We start from the raw sequence: 20176 nt of genomic DNA on the forward strand, positions 1-20176 counted from the left end.
GGTCAGGCGGTCGGGCTGCGGGGCCCTGGGGCCAGCTCACCGCCGGAAGTCTCCGCGTCCCCCCCACCCCGGCCAGATCCCTTTCCCAGTCCTGCTTCCCAGTGCCTCGGGCCAGGGAATCCTGGCCTCCGCCTGCGGAGCCGGCGGAACCCGCTTCCCGCCTCCACGGGGCAGCGCCAGCGGCCTGGTCCTTTCACCGGCAGCTCCGTGCCGACGCTCTCACCGCTCTTCCTATCGCCGGGAGTGGCGGGCCGACCAGGGGGCGGCCGGGCTACCGTCCGCCATTCCCGTGTCTCTGCGCCCGCGGGGGCCGCCCGAGCCGGCCACCATGCCGCTGGGCCTGAAGCCCACCTGCAGCGTATGCAAGACCACGTCGTCCTCCATGTGGAAGAAGGGAGCGCAGGGGGAGATCCTCTGCCATCATTGCACTGGCCGGGGCGGCGCGGGCAGCGGGGGCGCAGGCTCGGGGGCGGCTGGAGGGACTGGGGGCAGCGGCGGCGGCGGCTTCGGCGCGGCGACCTTCGCCAGCACCTCCGCCACCCCTCCGCAGAGCAACGGGGGCGGGGGCGGCAAGCAGGTGAGCTCCTCCGGCCCCTCCCGCCGGCGGAGGCCGACCAGGTGCTAGGCGGGCGGGGACGGGCTGGCTGGGAGCGGGCGGGCGCGGGCTTCCCCGATCGCCGTGCTCCTGCTGGCTGGAACGCCCCTCCCCACCTCCTACTGAGATCTTTCGTTTGGCCCATTCCGAAGCACCTGTTATTGTAAGAAATTCAAAGCAATAAGAACCAAGATGTAAAGCCCTTAAGAAAATCTCAATATACACATGTCTACACAGTCGTATACAGTGTCATGCCACAAATGCAGGCGCTGGACCTCATTCCTTGTTAAAGGTTTTGTCATATCAGGTTATGAAGTAAGATTATTATGTCATTATTGTAAATGGCAGCTTAAGTATTCCGTTGCAGGGGGCGCCATAACCTACTACGTTCTCTGGCCTTAGGGAGTAAAGTTGTTAAGTGTTTTTCTCTATTGTAGACACAACAAATGAATAGTGTTTGTCTTGGTCAAGACTGACTCCTACTCCCGCCTCCTGCCCTATTACAAGCAGCTCACACCTTTTGGAGGCTCTGGAGACGCCTGTCCAGCGAGCTCCGAGATTCCGGGTGCTGAACTTCCGGTTTTACTTAGCCTAGTTGCTGTAATTACTTCTCTTGAAAAGCAAAAGGGCAATCTTAATTGTTAAATGCTCTTATAAAGTACATACTCTGGGATCCTTGTAAGATGATTGTACTGCAACCTTTATGCACTTTTTACTTCTTTCTCTTTTTGTTCTTTAATTTGTTTGTGTAACAGAGTAAGCAGGAAATTCACAGGAGGTCTGCTCGGCTCAGAAACACTAAATACAAATCTGCTCCGGCTGCTGAAAAGAAAGTCTCCACCAAAGGAAAAGGGAGAAGACATATATTTAAATTGAAAAATGTAAGATATTTGTGGACAGTGCCTTTTACTGTAATGACGTTGTGTGTATCCTGCCACTGCCTTCATTTCTCACCATTGAACTTGGACTCTGCCCTTGGTAGCCCTTCCTTAGTATTCTGGGGAATGGTCCAGATTCCCCAAAAGGGAATGAGCTCTGTTGCAGGAGGCTCACTGTTTATAAAGTTAATAATACTCTTTCCTTTTTGTTTTTTAGCTTTTATTTTTTCCCCTGGAAAATATAAAATATGGGTTTAAAAGAAACATCAACCTTGAGCCCATTTTTTGGGGTTCTCTATGGAAAGGAAGAGGAGAGATTATGGTTCTTGATATGGCCAGGTACACTAAGAAAACTTTTTTTTTTCATTCTTTAAAAATCTAAGTAAATATTAACACTAGAACTCATCATTTGCATATTTATTTGTTATTAAAGCCCCAGAAAATGTATCTTACTGACTTATGATGATGATGTATTTGATGAATATGAGTCAAAAATTTTGCTAAGCCTTATCTCCTCTTCTGCTCTAAGAAAAGAGATTGTTGAAAGACCTGTGCTGGAAGTAGTTGAAAGCATATTTTTATTGCAATTAAATTCTCAGTTTTTATAAACAAGGGATAATGTTCAAACACAGTGGACAGTGCATTATGGACTATTTTTTTAAGTCTCAGTATGATATTCTTTTCTTTCAGAACAGGAATGTTTCACTTACCCGTAAAGACGTTTCTGAAGTTGGCCATATTTATTTCTAAAACACAAAGGGACCCTGCAGTAGACTTATGCAGATGGCAGACTATTTTCTTTTTTTTTTTTTAATTTAATTTAATGAATTTTTTTTAATTTTACTTTAAGTTCTGGGATACATGTGCAGAATGTGCAGGTTTGTTACATAGGTATACGTGCCATGGTGGTTTGCTGCACCTATCAACCCATCATCTAGGTTTTAAGCCCCGCATGCATTAGATATTTGTCCTAATGCTCTCCCTCCCCTTGGCCCCCATCTCCGACAGGCCCCAGTGTGTGATGTTCCCTTCCCCAAAGTATTTTCTTATTCAGACTAGTTGCTTCTAATTTATTTAAGATTTTTATAGTTAAGTGAGGCATTTGTTGATTACACAAAACATGTTATTGATATTTGTATCACATATGCACATTTTTTTCCTTTTAAGTATGGTATACCGTGTTCTCAGCAATTATTTCATTATCGTTTCTCTGCAACCTTTCTTCAATGGTACTAAGCAAGACACATCTGGGGAGGCCTACTTTCTATGTTGTGGCATAAAAGTATGTATTGAAGCTTTAGTAGAGATCTCAAAAATGGTTGGATGGTAGCAAATTACTAAGAACTCTCAAAGTTTCTAAAGCCTTAGTTTCAGCTTGCTAGAAAACCTATGTTGAGTATTATGGCTAGTTCCATAGTTGAGTTGGGAAATGTCTTTGAGGAGACACTTTTTCACTTTGTATTCATCTGTACATTTTCTGTTACTTGCATTCTGTCATGCTCAGGCTATTAGAGCAGGTACATTTTTATAACTGGAATGTTTATGTGTAGTGAAGCTCTGAGAGGACTTTGCATTAGATCTCAGCAGCATAATCAGAAGGTTGTCCTTTGTCTCAGCAATTTTTAAGCTAATAGTAGCAGAAATTGCAGTGGAAATAGACTGCTTTGCCACAACATTCAGAAAATCATTTATCTTTTTATTGCAGTTCTTGTCACCAAACAATACATTTTAGTACTTCTCAAATTGCAGAACTCTCATAGGGCTGGGAAAATGCCTGTAGACACATACATACTATGAATGTGCTAATGTTTTTTGTATTTTCATAGCCCATCAAAGCTCCTGAGTCAGTTTCCACTATAATCACTGCAGAATCAATCTTCTACAAGGTAAGCTTTTGTAGAGTTACTGAAGGAAGAGTTGGGCCTAGTGGGTAATGTGCCACTAAAATGTTGGATTAGTCTAAAGGTCTCTGCTACTCTTTATTTGTATAAGGTGTGATTATACTTTTTGTTCCCTTCTTAGCTGTTTTCCCCCATAAGTGGCTGTTATTAAAACATCTCATCTAGAGCTGAAGTGGGAGGAGAAAGTGCCTACTGACACATGATGTGAGGATCTTAAGTATTTTTTTTTAGTGTAGATTGTAGGAATTATTCTTAAAATGCTGATTGTATAGTGTGGAGCCATGGAAGACTGAGCCGTTAGTGCGATGGCATTGAAGAATGAGAAGGACAGAGACAGGATTTGGACTAGTAGAGGTTGTCGACTGTGGTGTCAAATGGGTAGAGTAGGCCCAGAGATTCTAAAATGCCTTTAAGTGGAGTTGAGCTGAGTAAGGGCAGTAGTGAGGATTAACACCTACTAGAAATTCATAGTGAGAGGAATTCCAAGATGTTTTGATAAAAGAATGAGGAGGTCAGGTTTCCCAGGGCCAAAGTCCATGAACATCTGATACCTCAGTGAGAGAAGTGACAGATTGTTGTGTTTAAACCAGAAGTCTTAGGAAAGGAATTAGAACATAGACCCCCAAGGCTCGGCAGGCCTGGCACGGCACAGGCAGCAACCATTGAAGGCTATTTGGTGTTTCGGGATCTGAACTGTCATTTAGGGGACAGTGGTGTGAGTTAGTACTTTATACTTGACCCAGGTGGACTGAGAAACTCAAGTGATGATGCCCTTAAGTATACTTTTTTTTAAGCCCACAATCTATATAGTCGAAGTCTGTTCCTCCCAACAGGGGTACACTGGCATTCCTCAGCAGGGCTGGGAAAAACCAACAACAAAAAAAGTCTGTACACAGGCAAACATCTCTCTTATTTTTCCAACATTTAATACATTGTTAATAAAATATCTAAAGTTTAGCAAACAGTTGCTGTGTATCAGTGGCTGAGCATTTTGCATGCTTTATTTCATTCAGTTCACTCTATGAGGTGGATACTACTATCCCCATTTTCTAGATGAGAACATTGAGGCACAGCGAGGTTAATTAACTTGTCCAAGATCACATAGCCAACAAGTCATGGAGTGAGGCAGTCTCATGCCAGAGCTTAAGCCTAGAGCATAGTTCCTGGCTCTACAGCTTTAGCAAGTGACTGGCTATGTGACGAGGACCAACCTCTCTAATGTCTCATCTGTAAAATAGGAATTGTAAATAGTTACTACCTCAGTGGGTCAAATGAAATCATATGTGTTAAGCACTTAGCAGAGTAAGCACTCAATGAATAGTAGGAGTTATCACATCTTCGTATTTGTGCATTACCTTCACAGTTTACAGATTAAGGCCAGAAGCAACTTGTTGAGCTACGGGTTTAGTGTACTAACAGTTTCCATGTGTGTCTCCATGGAAGGGTGTGTGGGACCTGTTATTGTGACTGTCTGTACTTTCGTATTGTTGTCTGCCACCCATGTTTATTAAATGATAAGGACAATAATGCAACAAAGTAGTCAAGTAATGTTGCAAATGCCCAGTATTGTAGTGGCTATCACAGCAGTGCCACTGGCAGGCAGCACCATGGTGGCAAGTTCAAGAGGTCACTGCCAGCCACTGAGCTAGAGCCCAGATCAGGCATGCAAGAGGAGCCTGAGTGGGAGCCACTGGGGATCACGGCCAAGAGTGTGACCACCCAAGACCCAGAATGGCTGAGTGGCCTCCCTGGAGCATGGCAGTGGCAGAACAACTCCATGAACTCAGATCTGGTGATGCCTAAACTAGTGCTGTTCTCGTGTGGACCCCTTTTCTCTACCAGAAACCTTGAATCCTCTCAGCAAATGAGGAGACTACTCAGATCAGTGACTTAGTCCTGTTTGGTGTTATATATGTGTACACAACACAGCACATATTAATAAATACCTACTATGTGCCAGGCACTGCCTACCACTGGAATCTTTCACTAAGACATTGTTTTTACTTTGCATTTCTGCCTTTACACTATGAAAGTAGATGTTTTGGATTCATATTCATTCAGCATACATTTGAATATGCTGTGTTATGCATAGTAAGCCTATGATAAGCAAGTATTCTCATTTAGAATTTGGGAATATTGATTATACATGTGGACAAACAAACCATAAATGCAAACTATTTATATGATAAATAACTTTGGACTGATGGCTGGGAGGAAGGACCAGCTATTGATGGGTAGGAACTAGCAAGTAGCGGACTGTGGCCTGCATAGACCAGACCCATCCGTAGTGATCCAGATGAAACAGCCACCCTCAGACACTTGGATAAAGGGTCCACCAGGAAAAAACTCCTGGCCTATCAGGTGCTATGTTACAGTTCAGTTACTGGAAGTATTTCCTCAAAAGTGTTTTTATGGTTGAGGTACACATTCCTACAGCTTTACCTGCTGCCAAGTCCCTGTTTCAAGGGAAGCAGCAATGAATTACACTGTTCCCGTAGTCAAGGACAGTATATCTTACCAAGAACTATACCCACTTAAGGAGGTGCTGGATGTCATAAAGATTTGGATCAACCATTATGGGTGTTCAGAGGAGAGATTATTTCCAGCTCAAGACCCAGGGAAGAGGACATAGGATGGATACCAGAGTCATAGGGAGGATTTAACACAGGACATGTACACATTAGTTAGTTGGGTATAAAGTGGAACAGAAATGAATGAGACACAAAGCCTTGAATGCCAGAAATACTAGTAGTCCTGTTGTGGAAGGATATAAAACTCAACTGGGAGTGGAAGAGAAAGGCAGCAGTGAGTCTAGGAGATGTACAGTAGGTTGAGGTAAACATATCCTGAAGACTATAATCCAAAGATTATTTTTGGTTTGAATTTGTTTTGGTTTGAATTCATGGTATCTATTTTCTTTGAGTGGATGGTTGGGGAGGGTGGCATGTAGAATGCATTCTTACCAAATCAGCATGATTTTCAAGACAGTACAGAGAAAAGACTGCTGAGCTGATGTAGGAGCTTTGGCTGCAGTCTCTATGGCTTTCAGCAAGCCGTTTAACCTTACTACTGCTTCATGACTGTGGCTAACAAAGTAGGGATAGTACGGAGCACAGAGGATTTTTAGGGCGGTGAAACTATTAATACTCTCTTTGTATGATACTATAATGGTGGGTACATGTCATTATACATTTGCCCAACCCCACAGAATACACAGCACCAAGAGTGAACCCTAATGTGAACTCTGGTCTTTGATGATGCTATGTCAGTGTACGTTCATCCGTGTAACAAGTGTACCACTCTAGTGGTGGGAGGGGTTATTGATAATAGGGGAGGATGTGCATGTGTGGGGGCAGGAAGTATATGGGAAATCTCTCTACTTCTGCTCAATTTTGCTGTAAACCTAAAACCTCTGTAAAAAATAAAGTCTATTTTTTAAAAAGTGGGGATGGTATTACGGCAATATAAAATCAAAATACTTTATGAACAAATCTTTTCTCCAGATGTAAACTGTCATATATGCACCCTCGTATGTGTATGTATAATTTTCATTCAAACGTGAAACAACTTTAGAATTGGCACCAAACATATAAACACTGATACATTAGACTATCTCGAACACCTTTTACTGACCACTTTGAAAACTTGCTTACCTATTAAGGTTCATTCATAGCTGTGATGTTCTATTTTTATTTTCAATGTGGGATTATCTTCTGTTTCCCCCAGGGAGTATATTACCAAATTGGTGATGTTGTTTCTGTGATTGATGAACAAGATGGAAAGCCCTACTATGCTCAAATCAGAGGTTTTATCCAGGACCAGTATTGCGAGAAGAGTGCAGCACTGACGTGGCTCATTCCTACCCTCTCTAGCCCCAGAGACCAATTTGATCCCGCCTCCTATATCATAGGTAAGTTTGACAAATGGCACAGGTTTTTTTTTAACTTAGTTAACTCTCCAATATTATGTAAAAGAGTGTGTTAGTCAGCTTGGGCTGTCAGGACAAAATATCACAGACTGAGTGGCTTAAACAACAGAAAGTCACTTTCTCACAGTTGTGGAGGCTGAAGTCCAACATCAAGGTGCTGGCAACACGGATTTCTGGGGAGGCTTTTCTTCCTGGCATATAGATGGTCACCTTCTTGCTGTGTCCTCACATGGCCTTTCATGGAGTGAGAGCTCTTTGGTGTATCTTCTTATAAGGACACCATTTCTGTCAGATGAGGGCCCCACCCTTATGGTTTCATTTAACCTTAATTGCCTCCCTAAAGGTCTCATCTCCAAGTACCATCACATTGGGGATTAGGGCTTCAACATATAAATTTGGAGGGTGGCGGGGGGGGATGCAATTCAGTCCATAACAAAAAAAGCATGAGTATTATTAAGTACAAAAAAATTAGAGAGCTTTATAGAAAATATGAGGCATTTTATGTAGCTGGAGTGTGAGTGCTATCAGTTATTTTGAGTTAGAGCAATGTGCATCTACTAAGAAGTGGTATGGATAAGATTTTTTTGGAGTGACCCAGGGTTAAACTGTACTACAAGAATGTATTGCTCAGGAACTAGGTTATTTAGGTTACTTATTTATACAAACCTATTCAAAAATAATTTAGGAAAGAACTATCCCAGTTATCCCATACTTGCAAATTCTCAATATGTGTGCCTCTGCATGCTACACATGTCATCTTAGGCCTTTATAGTATAAAGGCTGATAGTTGAAATGGCAGCTGCTGTGCTTTTGTTAATTTCAAAGCTGCCAAAACAGTTGTGAGATAGACTCACAAGAATTTACTGATTAATACAATTTTTAAAGTTTTCAGATTTTTACAGTTACTTCAGACTTTTTATCTTTCTGCAGTGAGCATGCATCATTACTTTTGCATCCTGAGAACAAGCATAAGTGTGTTTTTGGAGAGAACTCCAGGGACAAATAATATACCACTGTTATTCTCACCTATATGTCAAGTTTGATACATTACCAAACAATTCTAGCCTTCTGCTTATAAGTATATAGAATTTTTATTTACCTTATCTATGGATCAGGATCTCAGCAGAGGCAGTGATGTATCAGAATCACCTTCGGGATTCCTCTACTGCCTCCTCTTTCTAATCCCCAGATTCTGATATGCATCCTTGTCCTACAGCGAGGCAGCATGGCATGAGGTCAGAACACCAGTTCTGGAGCCAGACTGTCTAGGTTCACAGCCTGCCATTTACCGGCCATGTGACTTTGGCAAGTTTCTTAGTCTCTCTTGCCTCACTTTCCTCATATGTAAAATGGGAATAATAATAGTGCCTACCTCAGAAGGTTGATGTGAGGAATGAAGGTATTGATACATGTAAACTTAGAGCAGTGTGGGTACAAAATAAACATGATGCAAGTGTTCAATCACTGTTTTTGGGAGAATGCCATATTCTTTAAGCCGTTAAAGAAGAAAAAATGATTAAGAATAATTTCAAAGTAATGCATGTTTCAAGGGCTAATGCCAGGTTGCTCCCAGAGTGGTCTCTCCCAGTGTCTAGAAATTTTAACATCTTATGAAAATGATATATATGGTCAAAAATGTATTTAACCTTTCCCTTGGCTGCCTTCCAGGGCCAGAGGAAGATCTTCCAAGGAAGATGGAATACTTGGAATTTGTTTGTCATGCACCTTCTGAGTATTTCAAGTCACGGTCATCACCATTTCCCACAGTTCCCACCAGACCAGAGAAGGGCTACATATGGACTCATGTTGGGCCTACTCCTGCAATAACAATTAAGGAATCAGTTGCCAACCATTTGTAGTTCACAAATTAAAACTGGGTTTCCAGGCCTGGTGTGGTGGCTCACGCCTGTAGCCCCAGCTATTGCACCACTGCTCTCCAAGCTGGGCAATGGAGTCAGATTCTCTTTCTTAAAAAACCACAAAAAAACTGGATTTCCAGTTCTCTAATATTCTTAGTACCACAAGATATGTCATAGGTATCTTTAAATGAAATTCTTAGCTGGAAAAGTGACTAAAAAGTTTTTCTCCTGCTACCTAGTAATAAACAAATCATTGTTTATTACTGGTCACTTAGAAAATTAAAAGGGATAGGGCCAGGCACAGTGGCTTATGCCTGTAATTGCAGCACTTTTAGAGGCCGAGGCAGGCGGATCACCTGAGGTCGGGAAGTGGATCGCCTGAGGTCAGGAGTTCGAGACCAGCCTGGCCAACATGGCGAAACCCCGTCGCTACTAAAAATACAAAAATTAGCCAGGTGTGGTGGCATGTGCCTGTAATCCCAGCTATTTGGGAGGCTGAGGCAGGAGAATCGCCTAAACCCAGGAGGTGGAGGTTGTAGTGAGCCAAGATTGCACCGCTGTGCTCCAGCCTGGGCAACAGAGTGAGACTCTTGTCTCGGAAAAAAAAAAAAAAAAAAAAGGCTGGGCACAGTGGCTCACGCCTTTAATCCCAGCACTTTGGGAGGCTGAGGCAGATGGATCGCCTGAGGTTGGGAGTTCGAGACCAGCCTGGCCAGCATGGTGAAACCCTGTCTCTACTAAAAATACAAAAATTAGCCAGGTGTGGTGGCGCACACCTGTAGTCCCAGCTACTCGGGAGGCTGAGGCAGGAGAATTGGTTGAACCCAGGAGGCGGAGGTTGCAGTGAGCAGAGATCGTGCCACTGCACTCCAGCCTGGGTGGACAGAGCAAGACTCCGTCTCAAAGAAACAAACAAAAAATTAAAAGGGATAGAATATAATGAAATATATTTTGAACTTAAATTATATTCTATATGTGTATCTTCCTAGGCAAAAGCTGTAATTTCCAGAGAGACCATTAGGAACAGGTAGTATCTATTTTTCTCCATTATTTATTTCTAGAAACTCATAAAATGGATTGTATTTTTCTATAAGAACAAAATATTAATTAAGGTATAGATGACTGACCAAGGGCTTAATCAAATAAAATGACTAACAGCATCTATCATAAAGCCACACAAGCCTTATGTTCTCATCTCAAAAATGCTGTGACAGCTTTTTGGCTGCTTTAACCATAAGAAAAATGATTGGTGGATGATTTTATTAGCCCAGGCTTTTAAAAACTTTCATCTAGGCCACGTGCGGTGGCTCATGCCTGTAATCCCGGCACTTTGGGAGGCCTGAGTGGATGGATCACTTGAGGTCAGGAGTTCAGGACCAGCCTGGCCAACATGATGAAACCCTGTCTCTACTAAATATACAAAAATTAGTTGGGTGTTATGGTGCATGCCTGTAATCCCAGCTACTCGGGAGGCTGAGGCAGGAGAATTGCTTGAACTCGGGAGGTGGAGATTGCAGTAAGCCGAGATCGTGCCACTGCACTCCAGCCTGGGTGATAGAGCAAGACTGTCTCAAAAAAGAAAAAAAAGAAAAAATTTTAATTTAATCCTTCTGTAGAAACAGGCATTCAGAACCATTCCATTGATCTTAATAAAGCTGCTCTTTACTGTTTCTAGTCAAAAATGAGACTTCGATCAAACCATAAGATTTTATACTGCAGATAGTCAGCTTCACCAAAGCCGCAGAGGAAACATGTCGAGATCAGGCTTCCTGCTTGATAGTCTCTTGACTACCATTAAAACGAATATTGGGAGGTCATGAAAGTCATTGGTAGGCCATTAGCATTGATATCTTTAAAACATCTACCCTAAACCATCTGCTATGGACCCATAATAAGAGGCCTGTTGTATATGAAATTGTCTAGAATTCAGGTGCAGGTCTTTGCCGGTTAAGTAAGGGAGCAACACGTAAAATGGGAGAGGAGTGGGGTGTACTCACTTGCCTCCTCTTTTGTCCTGATTTAACCAGCATTTTTCAACCCTGGGAAAATTTGCAGAATCTAAGTTGATTGTAATGATTTTGAGCTGCAGCAGCTTTAACTCTTACCCTTTTTCCACATAGTTATGGTGTTTGAGTTGGAAAGAAACAACTATAGGTAGCTACACGTACATAATTATCTCTTTATTCACAAAGGGTATAGTAAAATTGATTGTAAATAACTTTCTAAGTGCCAATATTCAAAACTTTTGGATTAAAATGTATTTTTCACCGTGCATTTACTTTGGATGTATTTATTTCATTTAAACAATTTAAATGGGGCTCTTTAACCAAAAATGGTATTTAAAACCAAAACAGTATCGTACTTAGAATTTGGAGTAGAGGCCGGGCACAGTGGCTCACGCCTGTAATCCCAGCACTTTGGAAGGCTGAGGCAGGCGGATCACCTGAGGTCAGGAGTTCGAGACCAGCCTGGTCAACATGAAACCCCGTCTCTACTAAAAATACAAAAATTAGCTGGGCGTGGTGGCGTGCGCCTATAATCCCAGCTAGTCTACTCGGGAGGCTGAGGCAGGAGAATCGCTGGAACTCAGGAGGCAGAGACTGCAGTGAGCCGAGATCGCGCCACTGCACTCCAGTCTGGGTGACGGCATGACTCCATCTCCAAAAAAAAAAAAAAAAGATTTTGGAGTAGATTCATCATTAATAAGTAACAGATTTTAGGAAAATCAAAAAATGGCTAATAAAATGAACACAATGTAAAACATTTATTAAAATGTAGACTTTTAAAAATCTATAAATTGATCATCTGTTTATAAATTGGCAGATGGTTGTGTACCATCTTTTAAAATAAAGATTGAATTTCACCCAGTGTGATGGTTCCCATTGCTTATATTTCTCCTGCTGAGGCCGGACCTGATATGGCCCTGGTCTGTGTTCCCAGCCTTGTTTCCTCATTACCACTAAAATCTTTCCCCTGTATGCCCGCCCAATTTTTCTGGCTCTGAGTCCTTGTTCATACTGTTCTCTCCAATTCTACCTTCCAAAGGCCTTTCTTAACACCTTCGGATTCTTTCTTTGAGAACTTTCCAGATTCCCATGCCTTTTTGGAATCAATCTCTATCCTATTGTCATCACATTTAAGTTTCTACTTCCATCATCCTCACTCCTATCCCTTTGGTCCTGGGATGACAGGGATGCTGTGTTTTATTTACTCATCTTTGTAACTTCCACATAACCTAACCCCGGTTCTTGCTTATGGGAGATGCTGATTGTAGGGTCTGAGTTAGATACTGTTAACTAAAATGCTTGTTGATATTTTAGTTATTAATTCATATTAACTTTGGCTGAAACTTTTAAATTCTATTGTGAATAGTCAAGTAAAATTTAGATTGTTACATTCTGGGTTAGTATTAGATTGTTTTTAAGATTGTTTTAAACAAGATGTTTTTAAGATGAGTTTTAAATAGTTCTCTTAACACAAATAAAGCTTAATATGAGTATTTGAAGGAAATTATCCCAAACCATTCCAGTTCCTGGCTGTGAAAGGCTTTTCCAGGCCTAATAAGTTTTCCACTTCAGCCGTAAGTAGGTGAAATCAAATGAACAATAGAGGGAAATGTATTTATTTGCTTTATACACATGCATGTGTGTTGTGTCTACATATAAACATTGCACACGCTTAGAATGAAGTTTCTGTCATGCCCAGAAAAGGGAGAGGCATTTTTGTGGATTTTGTCTGGCTGCCCTGGGGATGTTTGAAGAACTGTGCTGTTTACTTCATACCAGGTGTGTGAGCCATACCTTTGGTAGGAGGGTATACCTCCTACACCCAAGAAATATAAGCCAGGAGAAGGTCTGTGCCAAGAGAAGGAACCCAAATGACCCACAAGAGGTGGGCCATTAATTATTGGGTCAGATGCATAAATGCACAGTAATTTATTTAAGCACCTCTTAATGGTGACCCACAAGGAAGATTGCTCGTAGTAGCGGAAAGGTTCACAATAAATAAGAGAAAAAAGCAGAATGTAGAACTGTATGATAGCAATTCTGCAAACAAGAAGCATCTTTTATAAAAGATGGAAGGAGCCCAGGCACAGTAGCTCATGCCTGTAATCCCAGCACTTTAAGAGGCTGAGGTGGAGGATCACTTGAGCTGCAGTGACCCATGATTGTGCCACCACTCCAGCCTGGGTGATAGAAGTGAGACCTTCTCTCAAAAAAAAAAAAAAAAAAAAAAAGACGGAAATTCCTCCAGAATTTTAACATGTCAACAGAGGTTTTCTGCAGCTACTTTTTTCAGCTTTATACTTCGCAGTATTTTCCAAATTTTCTCTAACAAGCAGTATTTTCCAAATTTTTTACAATAAGCACACACACACACACACGTTTGTTTGCATAAGTGCCCAACTGGTGGTGAACAACCGCTGGCTTTTAGTCTATACATATCTAGAATATTTTATAAATAGTAGTTCTTAAACCCTTGAAAGGGAGTGAATGACCAGCTGAGAAAATAAAGTCAGTGATTTCATTATTTTCCTATATTCACATCATGATTCTAGGAAAGAACTTGGGAGTGACTTCCTTCAGCTTCAGCCACTCCTGGGCCAGGCGCATGCTTAGCTCTGTGGTAAAGGTCACCAGCTTCTTCTGCAGGGTGCCTGTATCATCTGAATTGGAGGTTTGGCGAGGGTAAGAGACTGATGTAGGTTCAAGTTTTTCTTTCCTGTCCTCCACTTGAAATCTGTCTTCCCTTCCAGACTGCCTGCGCTGCTGACTTAAGGCCCCAACACCAAACACAGAAGCAACAGCCTTACACAGAGTGTTCAGCAAGCTCCAACAATTGTGTAAGGTAAAGTTTCCTTTATAGATTCCTTTTCTATATCGCTCCTAGTGGTTCTGTTTCTCTGATCGAATTCTGGCTGATAACAGTTGCTGAGACTCTGAAAGAGAAGGCAAGGAACTACTGTTTCTCATTATAAACTGTTTAGAATTATTTGGCCATCTTTTTGCTATGAATATGTAGTGCTTTGATACATTTTTTAAATCAAAAAGTAATGAAAGAGATCACATAGGGAAAGATAGATTGGATTATTTTTAAAGTTTATATACTAAATTGAAAAGCAAAGAATAAAATGGGAGAAACAGCTCCCTCATGTGGCTGTTGGCAGGAAGCTTCCATTCCTCTCTGTGGGCCTCCACAGGTTTGCTCACAGCAAATGGTCCGTGACAGAAAGACGCAAGGGCAGTTGCACCCAAGATGGAAGCCACCATCTTTTCTATAACCTAATCTGAAAGAAGGGACATACCAGCACTTCTGCCATATGCTGTTGGGTCACACAGACCAACTCTGGTACAGTGTGAACACAGGACCACACAAGGGCGTGAATTCCAAGGGCAGAGACCACTAGGGACCACCTCAGAGGCACAGAGGGACACCCTATCCAGCTGGTGGCCAATGTAAATTAACATAGCTTTTTAGAATAGCAATATGTATCTATAATCTTAAAAGTATTAAAAGTACTTCTTGATCCAGTAATTTCATTTCTAAGAATCCATGCTAAGAGGATTTAAAATGTGGACCAAAAAATGGGTATAAAAAGAAGTTGTTAACAGTATTTAAAGTTGTGAAAAACCAGAAACAATCTAAAGGTCCAACAATAGGAAAATGAATTTTGATATTTTTCTAATAGAATTTTATGCTGTCATCAGAAATACCATTTACAAATAATTTTTAATAACGCAAAAAAAAGTTTATAAAATGTTTAGTGTAAAACCTGGACACAACTACATAATGATTCTGATTTTGTAAAAAAAAAAAACAAAAACACACACATATACACATGCATACATATGCATATAAAGAAAACTGGAACAAACAAAATAACAAGCATAGTTGGAATTACAGTCATTTTAATATTCTTTATGCTTTTAAAAATTTTGAAGTTTGTATTACTAGCATCCACTACTTACGTAGTCAGGAAAAAAATACAACTTTAAAATAGATATTTAGGTCCAAAGATGGTAATCTAAATGGTGTTACAGGCTGAATGTGTGCCTGATCCCCATGCCCCAAGTTCATATGTTAAAGCCCTGGCCCCCAAGGCAATGGTATTAGGGGAGTAGGGCCTTTGGGAGGTAATCAGATTTCTACGAGGTCATGAGGGTGGAGCCCGCATAGTGGAATTAGTGTCCTTTTAGGAAGAGGAGAACAGACCAAAGCCTTCCTTTCTCTCCTCACTATGTAAGAAGACAGCCAGAAGGTGGCCACAGCCAGGAAGAGAGCTCTCACCAGAACCCAAATCTGCTAGCACCTTGCTCTTGGGTTCTCAGCATCCAGAACTGTGAGAAATGAATGTGTGTTGTTTAAACCACTCAGGCTACGGTATTTTGTTGCAGCAGCCCAAGCTGACAGAGATAGAAACAACACAAGGACCCATCAGCAGACGAATGGATGATCAAAACGTGGTGAGGTCGTGCAGTGGGATATTATTCAGCCGTAGAAGGAATGAAATTCTGATACATGCTATAATGATGAACCTTGAAAACATGTTAATGGAAATAAGCCAAACTTAAAAGGACAAATATTGTATAATTCCACTTATATGAGTTAGTTACCTAGAATAGGCAAATTATGTCATAGATACAGAACATTAGAGGTTACCAGGGTTGTGGGAAGAGGGGTATTGTGGGTACAAATTTTCGGTTTGGAGTGATTTTGAAAAAATTCTGGAAATGGGTAGTGACAGTAGTCAACATGATGAATGTACTTAATGACACTAAATTGTACACTTAAAAATGGTTAATACTGGGCTGGCGCAGTGGCTCATGGCTGTAAATCCCAGAACTTTGGGAGGCCAAGACAGGCGGATCATGAGGTCAGGAGATTGAGACCATTCTGGCTAACATGGTGAAACCCTGTCTCTACTAAAAAATAAAAACAAATAAAAAAAAAATTAGCCGGGCATGGTGGCAGGCACCTGTAGTCCCAGCTACTCGGGAGGCTGAGGCAGGAGAATGGTGTGACCTGGGAGTCGGAGCTTGCAGTGAGCTGAGATCGCGCCACTGCACTCCAGCCTGGGCAACAGAGCCAGATTCCGTCTCAAAAAAAAAAAAAAAAAGGTTGATACCTGGGTGCGGTGGCTCATGCCTGTAATTTCAGCACTTTGGGAGGCCAAGGCAGGCAGATCAGTTGAGGTCAAGAGTTAAGGACCAGCCTGGCCAACGTGGCGAAACCCCATCTCTATTAAAAATACAAAAATTAGTCGAGTGTGGTGGTGGGTGCCTGTAGTCCCAGCTGCTGGGAGGATGAGGCCTAGGAATTGCTTGAACCCAGGAGGCAGAGGTTGCAGTGAGTTGAGATTGCGCCACTGCACTCCAGCCTGGGGGACAGAGCGAGACTTAGTCTCAAAAAAAAGGTTAAAATTGTAAGTTTTGTTATGCATATTTTACCATAATCTTTAAAAAATAGATATATAGGAGATAAAGTCAACAGAATTTAATAACCAGTTGTAAATAGAGACTGAGTGAGGAGGATGAATTAAGGAAGACATTGAGTACAACTTTTTGGTAGGTGAAAAACTCTTAAAAAAATACGTGGGCAAAGATCCTACTTGATTCTTATAATTTAAAAATCTCCCAGTTAGTAAACAAGGCTAGGTGGAGATTTGCATGTGATGTGAGGTGTGTGTTCTGTTTTGTAATGTGAGGACTGTGAGCCATCTCCTGGACTTGAATATCCATTAGATAATTGAAAATACGGATTTGAGAACTCAGGAGACGTGCAATGCAGTAACAAAACTCTGCACCTAGTTGATTTCTGTCTCCTAATTTAATGCTTTTATGGGACAAACTGTTAGGCAGGTGGGCAAGATGGACAGCCATATTTTTGTGGGTTTCTGGCCTGTGGGCCAGCCTCAGTGCTCACTCTGAGGTCATGTCCAAACTTAGAACACATTCAGGCCTACCACAGTCAAGGCTCCCTTTCTCAACTCTAGTCCTCTGCACAAATATCCGAAGCCTAGAAATAATAATCATCTGTCCTTGTGTCTTGCATTATGAAAGCCTAGGAAAGGGCCTTGGGAATTAAGAAGAATGGAAAAACTGGTCTAACTGCTGCATGCTTCAGCTTGCAGGGGAATCACTGAAATGGGGACAGGCCATAAAAGGACAACCAGAAGAGTGGCTTCAGCAAAGGCATCGTTTTTCAGAGCAAGCTAGAGAATCCTGCCAGCGTCCTCAGGCAGGGCCCCTGGGCACAGAGGTTAGGCAAGGGAGTGTCCCAGCATGTTGATGCCCTGAGCATCAGAATAATGCCATAGAGGAGCTTCCAAAGAGTTCATTTCAGGTTTTGTAAGCCGAACATTTCTAGGCAAATAAAATTTGATTTTGTGAATAAAGCTTGTTTCTTCAACTCCAGTGCAGATTCTCATAGATTGATAGTGGCTTGTGATCCAGATAAAGAAAACAATTTTTCAAAGATTCATATTCTTTGTAGATGTACGGATTTAGAGACCATCTAATCTAACTCCCTCATTCTACAGATAGGAAAAATGAGGCCTAAAGAAGTTAAGAAAATACCATGGAAATGTCACTGCTGAACTGCCATACGTAGGATCCGAAAGAAATTGGGTAAATGCTACTGTGAGAAATACAGTACTAGGTCCAAAGAATCTAATACAAATTAAAAATCTAAATGTTATTTCTAAAGCATCCCTGCACATGGCTGAACTTACATAGTTTCATTTTCTTTCTTTTCTGTTGAAGAAGAGGCAATTGGCTGGGTGCAGTGGCTCATGCCTGTAATCCTGGCACTTTGAGAGGCCGAGGCGGGTGGATCACCTGAGGTCAGGAGTTTGAGACCAGCCTGGCCAACATGGTGAAACCCCATCTCTACTAAAAATACAAAAATTAGCTGGCTGTGGTGGCCGCTGCCTGTAATCCCAGCTACTCCAGAGGCTGAGGCAGGAGAATTACTTGAATCTGGGAGGTGGAGGTTGCAGTGAGCCAAGATCACGCCATTGCACTCTAGCCTGGATGACAAGAGGGAAACTCCATCTCAAAAAAAAAAAGAAAAAAAGCAATCACTAACCTGTGTTGTTTATTAAACATGACAGACTGGCATGAAGTAATTACCAAACTGTAAACAAAAAAGCTACAATCTGCCAGGCATGGTGGCTCATGCCTGTAATCCCCCACCTTGGGAGGCCAGGTTGGGGGATCACCTGAGGCCTGGAGTTCAAGACTAGCCTGGTCAACATGGTGAAACCTCGTCTCTACTAAAAATACAAAAATTAGCCCGGCGTGGTGGCACATCCCTGTAATCCCAGTTACTCAGGAGGCTGAGGCAGGAGAATCACTTGAACCTGGGCAGTGGGGAGGTTGCAGTGAGCCAAGATCGCACCGTTGTACTCCAGTCTGGGCCGACAGAGTGAGACTCGGTCTCAAAAAAAAGAAAAAAGAAAAGCTACAACCTTAATCTCAACTTCTCATAACATCATCTCTACTTCTGATTAGAAGAGTGGAAGTGGGGAGGTTTATTACAAAAAGACTGTTATACCTTACACACTTCTCCCCATGAATAGTGAAGGTGTGAGTGAAAAAGACAGCAATTTTATTTTTTTTTTGAAACAGGTTCTTGCACTGTCACCCGGGCTGGAGTGCACTGTTGTGATCACTGCTCACTGCAGCCTCCACCTCCCAGGCTCAAGTGATCCTCCTACCTCAGCCTCCTGAGTAGCTGGGACCACAGTTGTGCACTACCATGCCCAGCTATTTTTTTTTAAGAGATGGGGTCTCACTATATTGCTTAGGCTAGTTCTCAAACTCCTGGCCTCAAGCAGTCCTCCGACCTTGGCCTCCCAAAGGGTTGTGATTACAGGCATAAGCCACCACACCCAGCCAGCAGTTTTAGAATAAAGGGTGAAGGTGCTGTTGGGGAAATATAATTTAAAAAACAAAATCTTCTCTCAACCCAGAAATCCTCTCCATGAAGGCAGTAGAGAAAGATAAGCTTTATTATTGAATAAAAATTAAATGAGAATGTGATGCACATCACAGGCACTTTGCTAAGAGATCACAAAGACAGAAGGAAATTTCACCATTTTGTACAGCCAAGCAGGTACAGCCCATTACATGTATGTTTTCGAGATAAATAGTCCTCAACTAAGAGAACTTGACAGCACCACTGGTCACACAGTTCATTCTAACTTTACCTGATAATTGATGTGACCACTTGTGTTATCTAAGATATCAACTTTTCGGGGGTGGGGGAGTGTGGAAACAGGAGTTACTTTTATAGCTTGGTGCAAGGTACTCATTAAGATTAGGCTGTTACCCTCCCACAGAAACTGGAAGATAGGTATGCTATCTGGTAATGTTTACATTTCCCAGATCCTTGAGAAAGACATTCCTAGGTCATAAAGCTGACAAAAGGCTGATTCAGTTTTTAAATATATATATCTGTATATGTATTTCAGGCTGGGCATGATGGCTCATGCTTTTAATCCCAGCACTTTGGGAGGCCAAGGCAGGTGGATCACCTGAGGTCAGGAGTTCGAAACCAGCCTGGCCAACATGATGAAACCCATTTCTACTAAAAATACAAAAAAATTAGCCAGGCATGGTGACACATGCCTGTAATCCTAGCTACCAGGGAGGTTGAGGCAGGAGAATCACTTGAACCCGGAGGCGGAGGTTGAGCCGAGATTGCACCATTGCACTCCAGCCTGGAAACAAGAACAAAACTCCGTCTCAAAATAAAAAAAAAATTATATACATATATATATTTCAAAGAGACTGAGAAAGCACATACAAGTTTTCTCAAGTAATAACCTGACATGGAGGGGAGGAAAATTTCTTGCCTCATTTTCAACAGGTGGAATTAAACTTATTAAATTCATATTTATCTTTACAGTGCCCATCCTAAATTTGGAAGAGGAAGGATGTGGGCCAACTTTTGGCTTAGGCCCTCATGTCAGGGCTTCTCTTAGTACATATGGTACCTTTCTGAGATTTTCA

The 20176-nt window shown here is 41.9% G+C and overlaps 1 protein-coding gene across 9 annotated transcripts in view, besides 2 other annotated features; it reads left to right on the top strand.

The window, feature by feature from the left end:
• Positions 1 to 770: a silencer, noted in NCBI's record as "silent region_18371". NCBI's record gives its function as "represses an Ori minimal core promoter by ATAC-STARR-seq in GM12878 lymphoblastoid cells {active_cell/tissue: GM12878}" and the evidence as "EXISTENCE:reporter gene assay evidence [ECO:0000049][PMID:35858748]".
• GATAD1 (GATA zinc finger domain containing 1) overlaps positions 81 to 20176 on the top strand; it is a 48288-nt gene continuing 28192 nt past the window's right edge. The window contains exons 1-6 of one of the 9 annotated variants that reach the window (XR_927494.4): positions 81 to 577; positions 1351 to 1476; positions 3300 to 3359; positions 7101 to 7284; positions 13918 to 14009; positions 15557 to 15625. Coding sequence is in view for 3 of the 9 variants with exons in the window: in NM_021167.5 (NP_066990.3) it covers positions 329 to 577; positions 1351 to 1476; positions 3300 to 3359; positions 7101 to 7284; positions 8971 to 9161 (810 nt within the window). In the remaining 6 variants the exon portion in view is untranslated. Of the gene's footprint in view, positions 578 to 1350; positions 3360 to 7100; positions 7285 to 8970; positions 12675 to 13917; positions 14010 to 15556; positions 15626 to 20176 lie in introns of those variants that run through there. The other 8 variants (XR_927500.4, NR_052016.2, XR_927503.4 and 5 more) reach the window with 8 other exon arrangements.
• Positions 1201 to 1250: an enhancer, noted in NCBI's record as "active region_26260". NCBI's record gives its function as "activates an Ori minimal core promoter by ATAC-STARR-seq in GM12878 lymphoblastoid cells {active_cell/tissue: GM12878}" and the evidence as "EXISTENCE:reporter gene assay evidence [ECO:0000049][PMID:35858748]".

The sequence above is a fragment of the Homo sapiens genome, chromosome 7 (genome assembly GCF_000001405.40).
Source record: "Homo sapiens chromosome 7, GRCh38.p14 Primary Assembly".
NCBI lineage: Eukaryota > Metazoa > Chordata > Mammalia > Primates > Hominidae > Homo > Homo sapiens.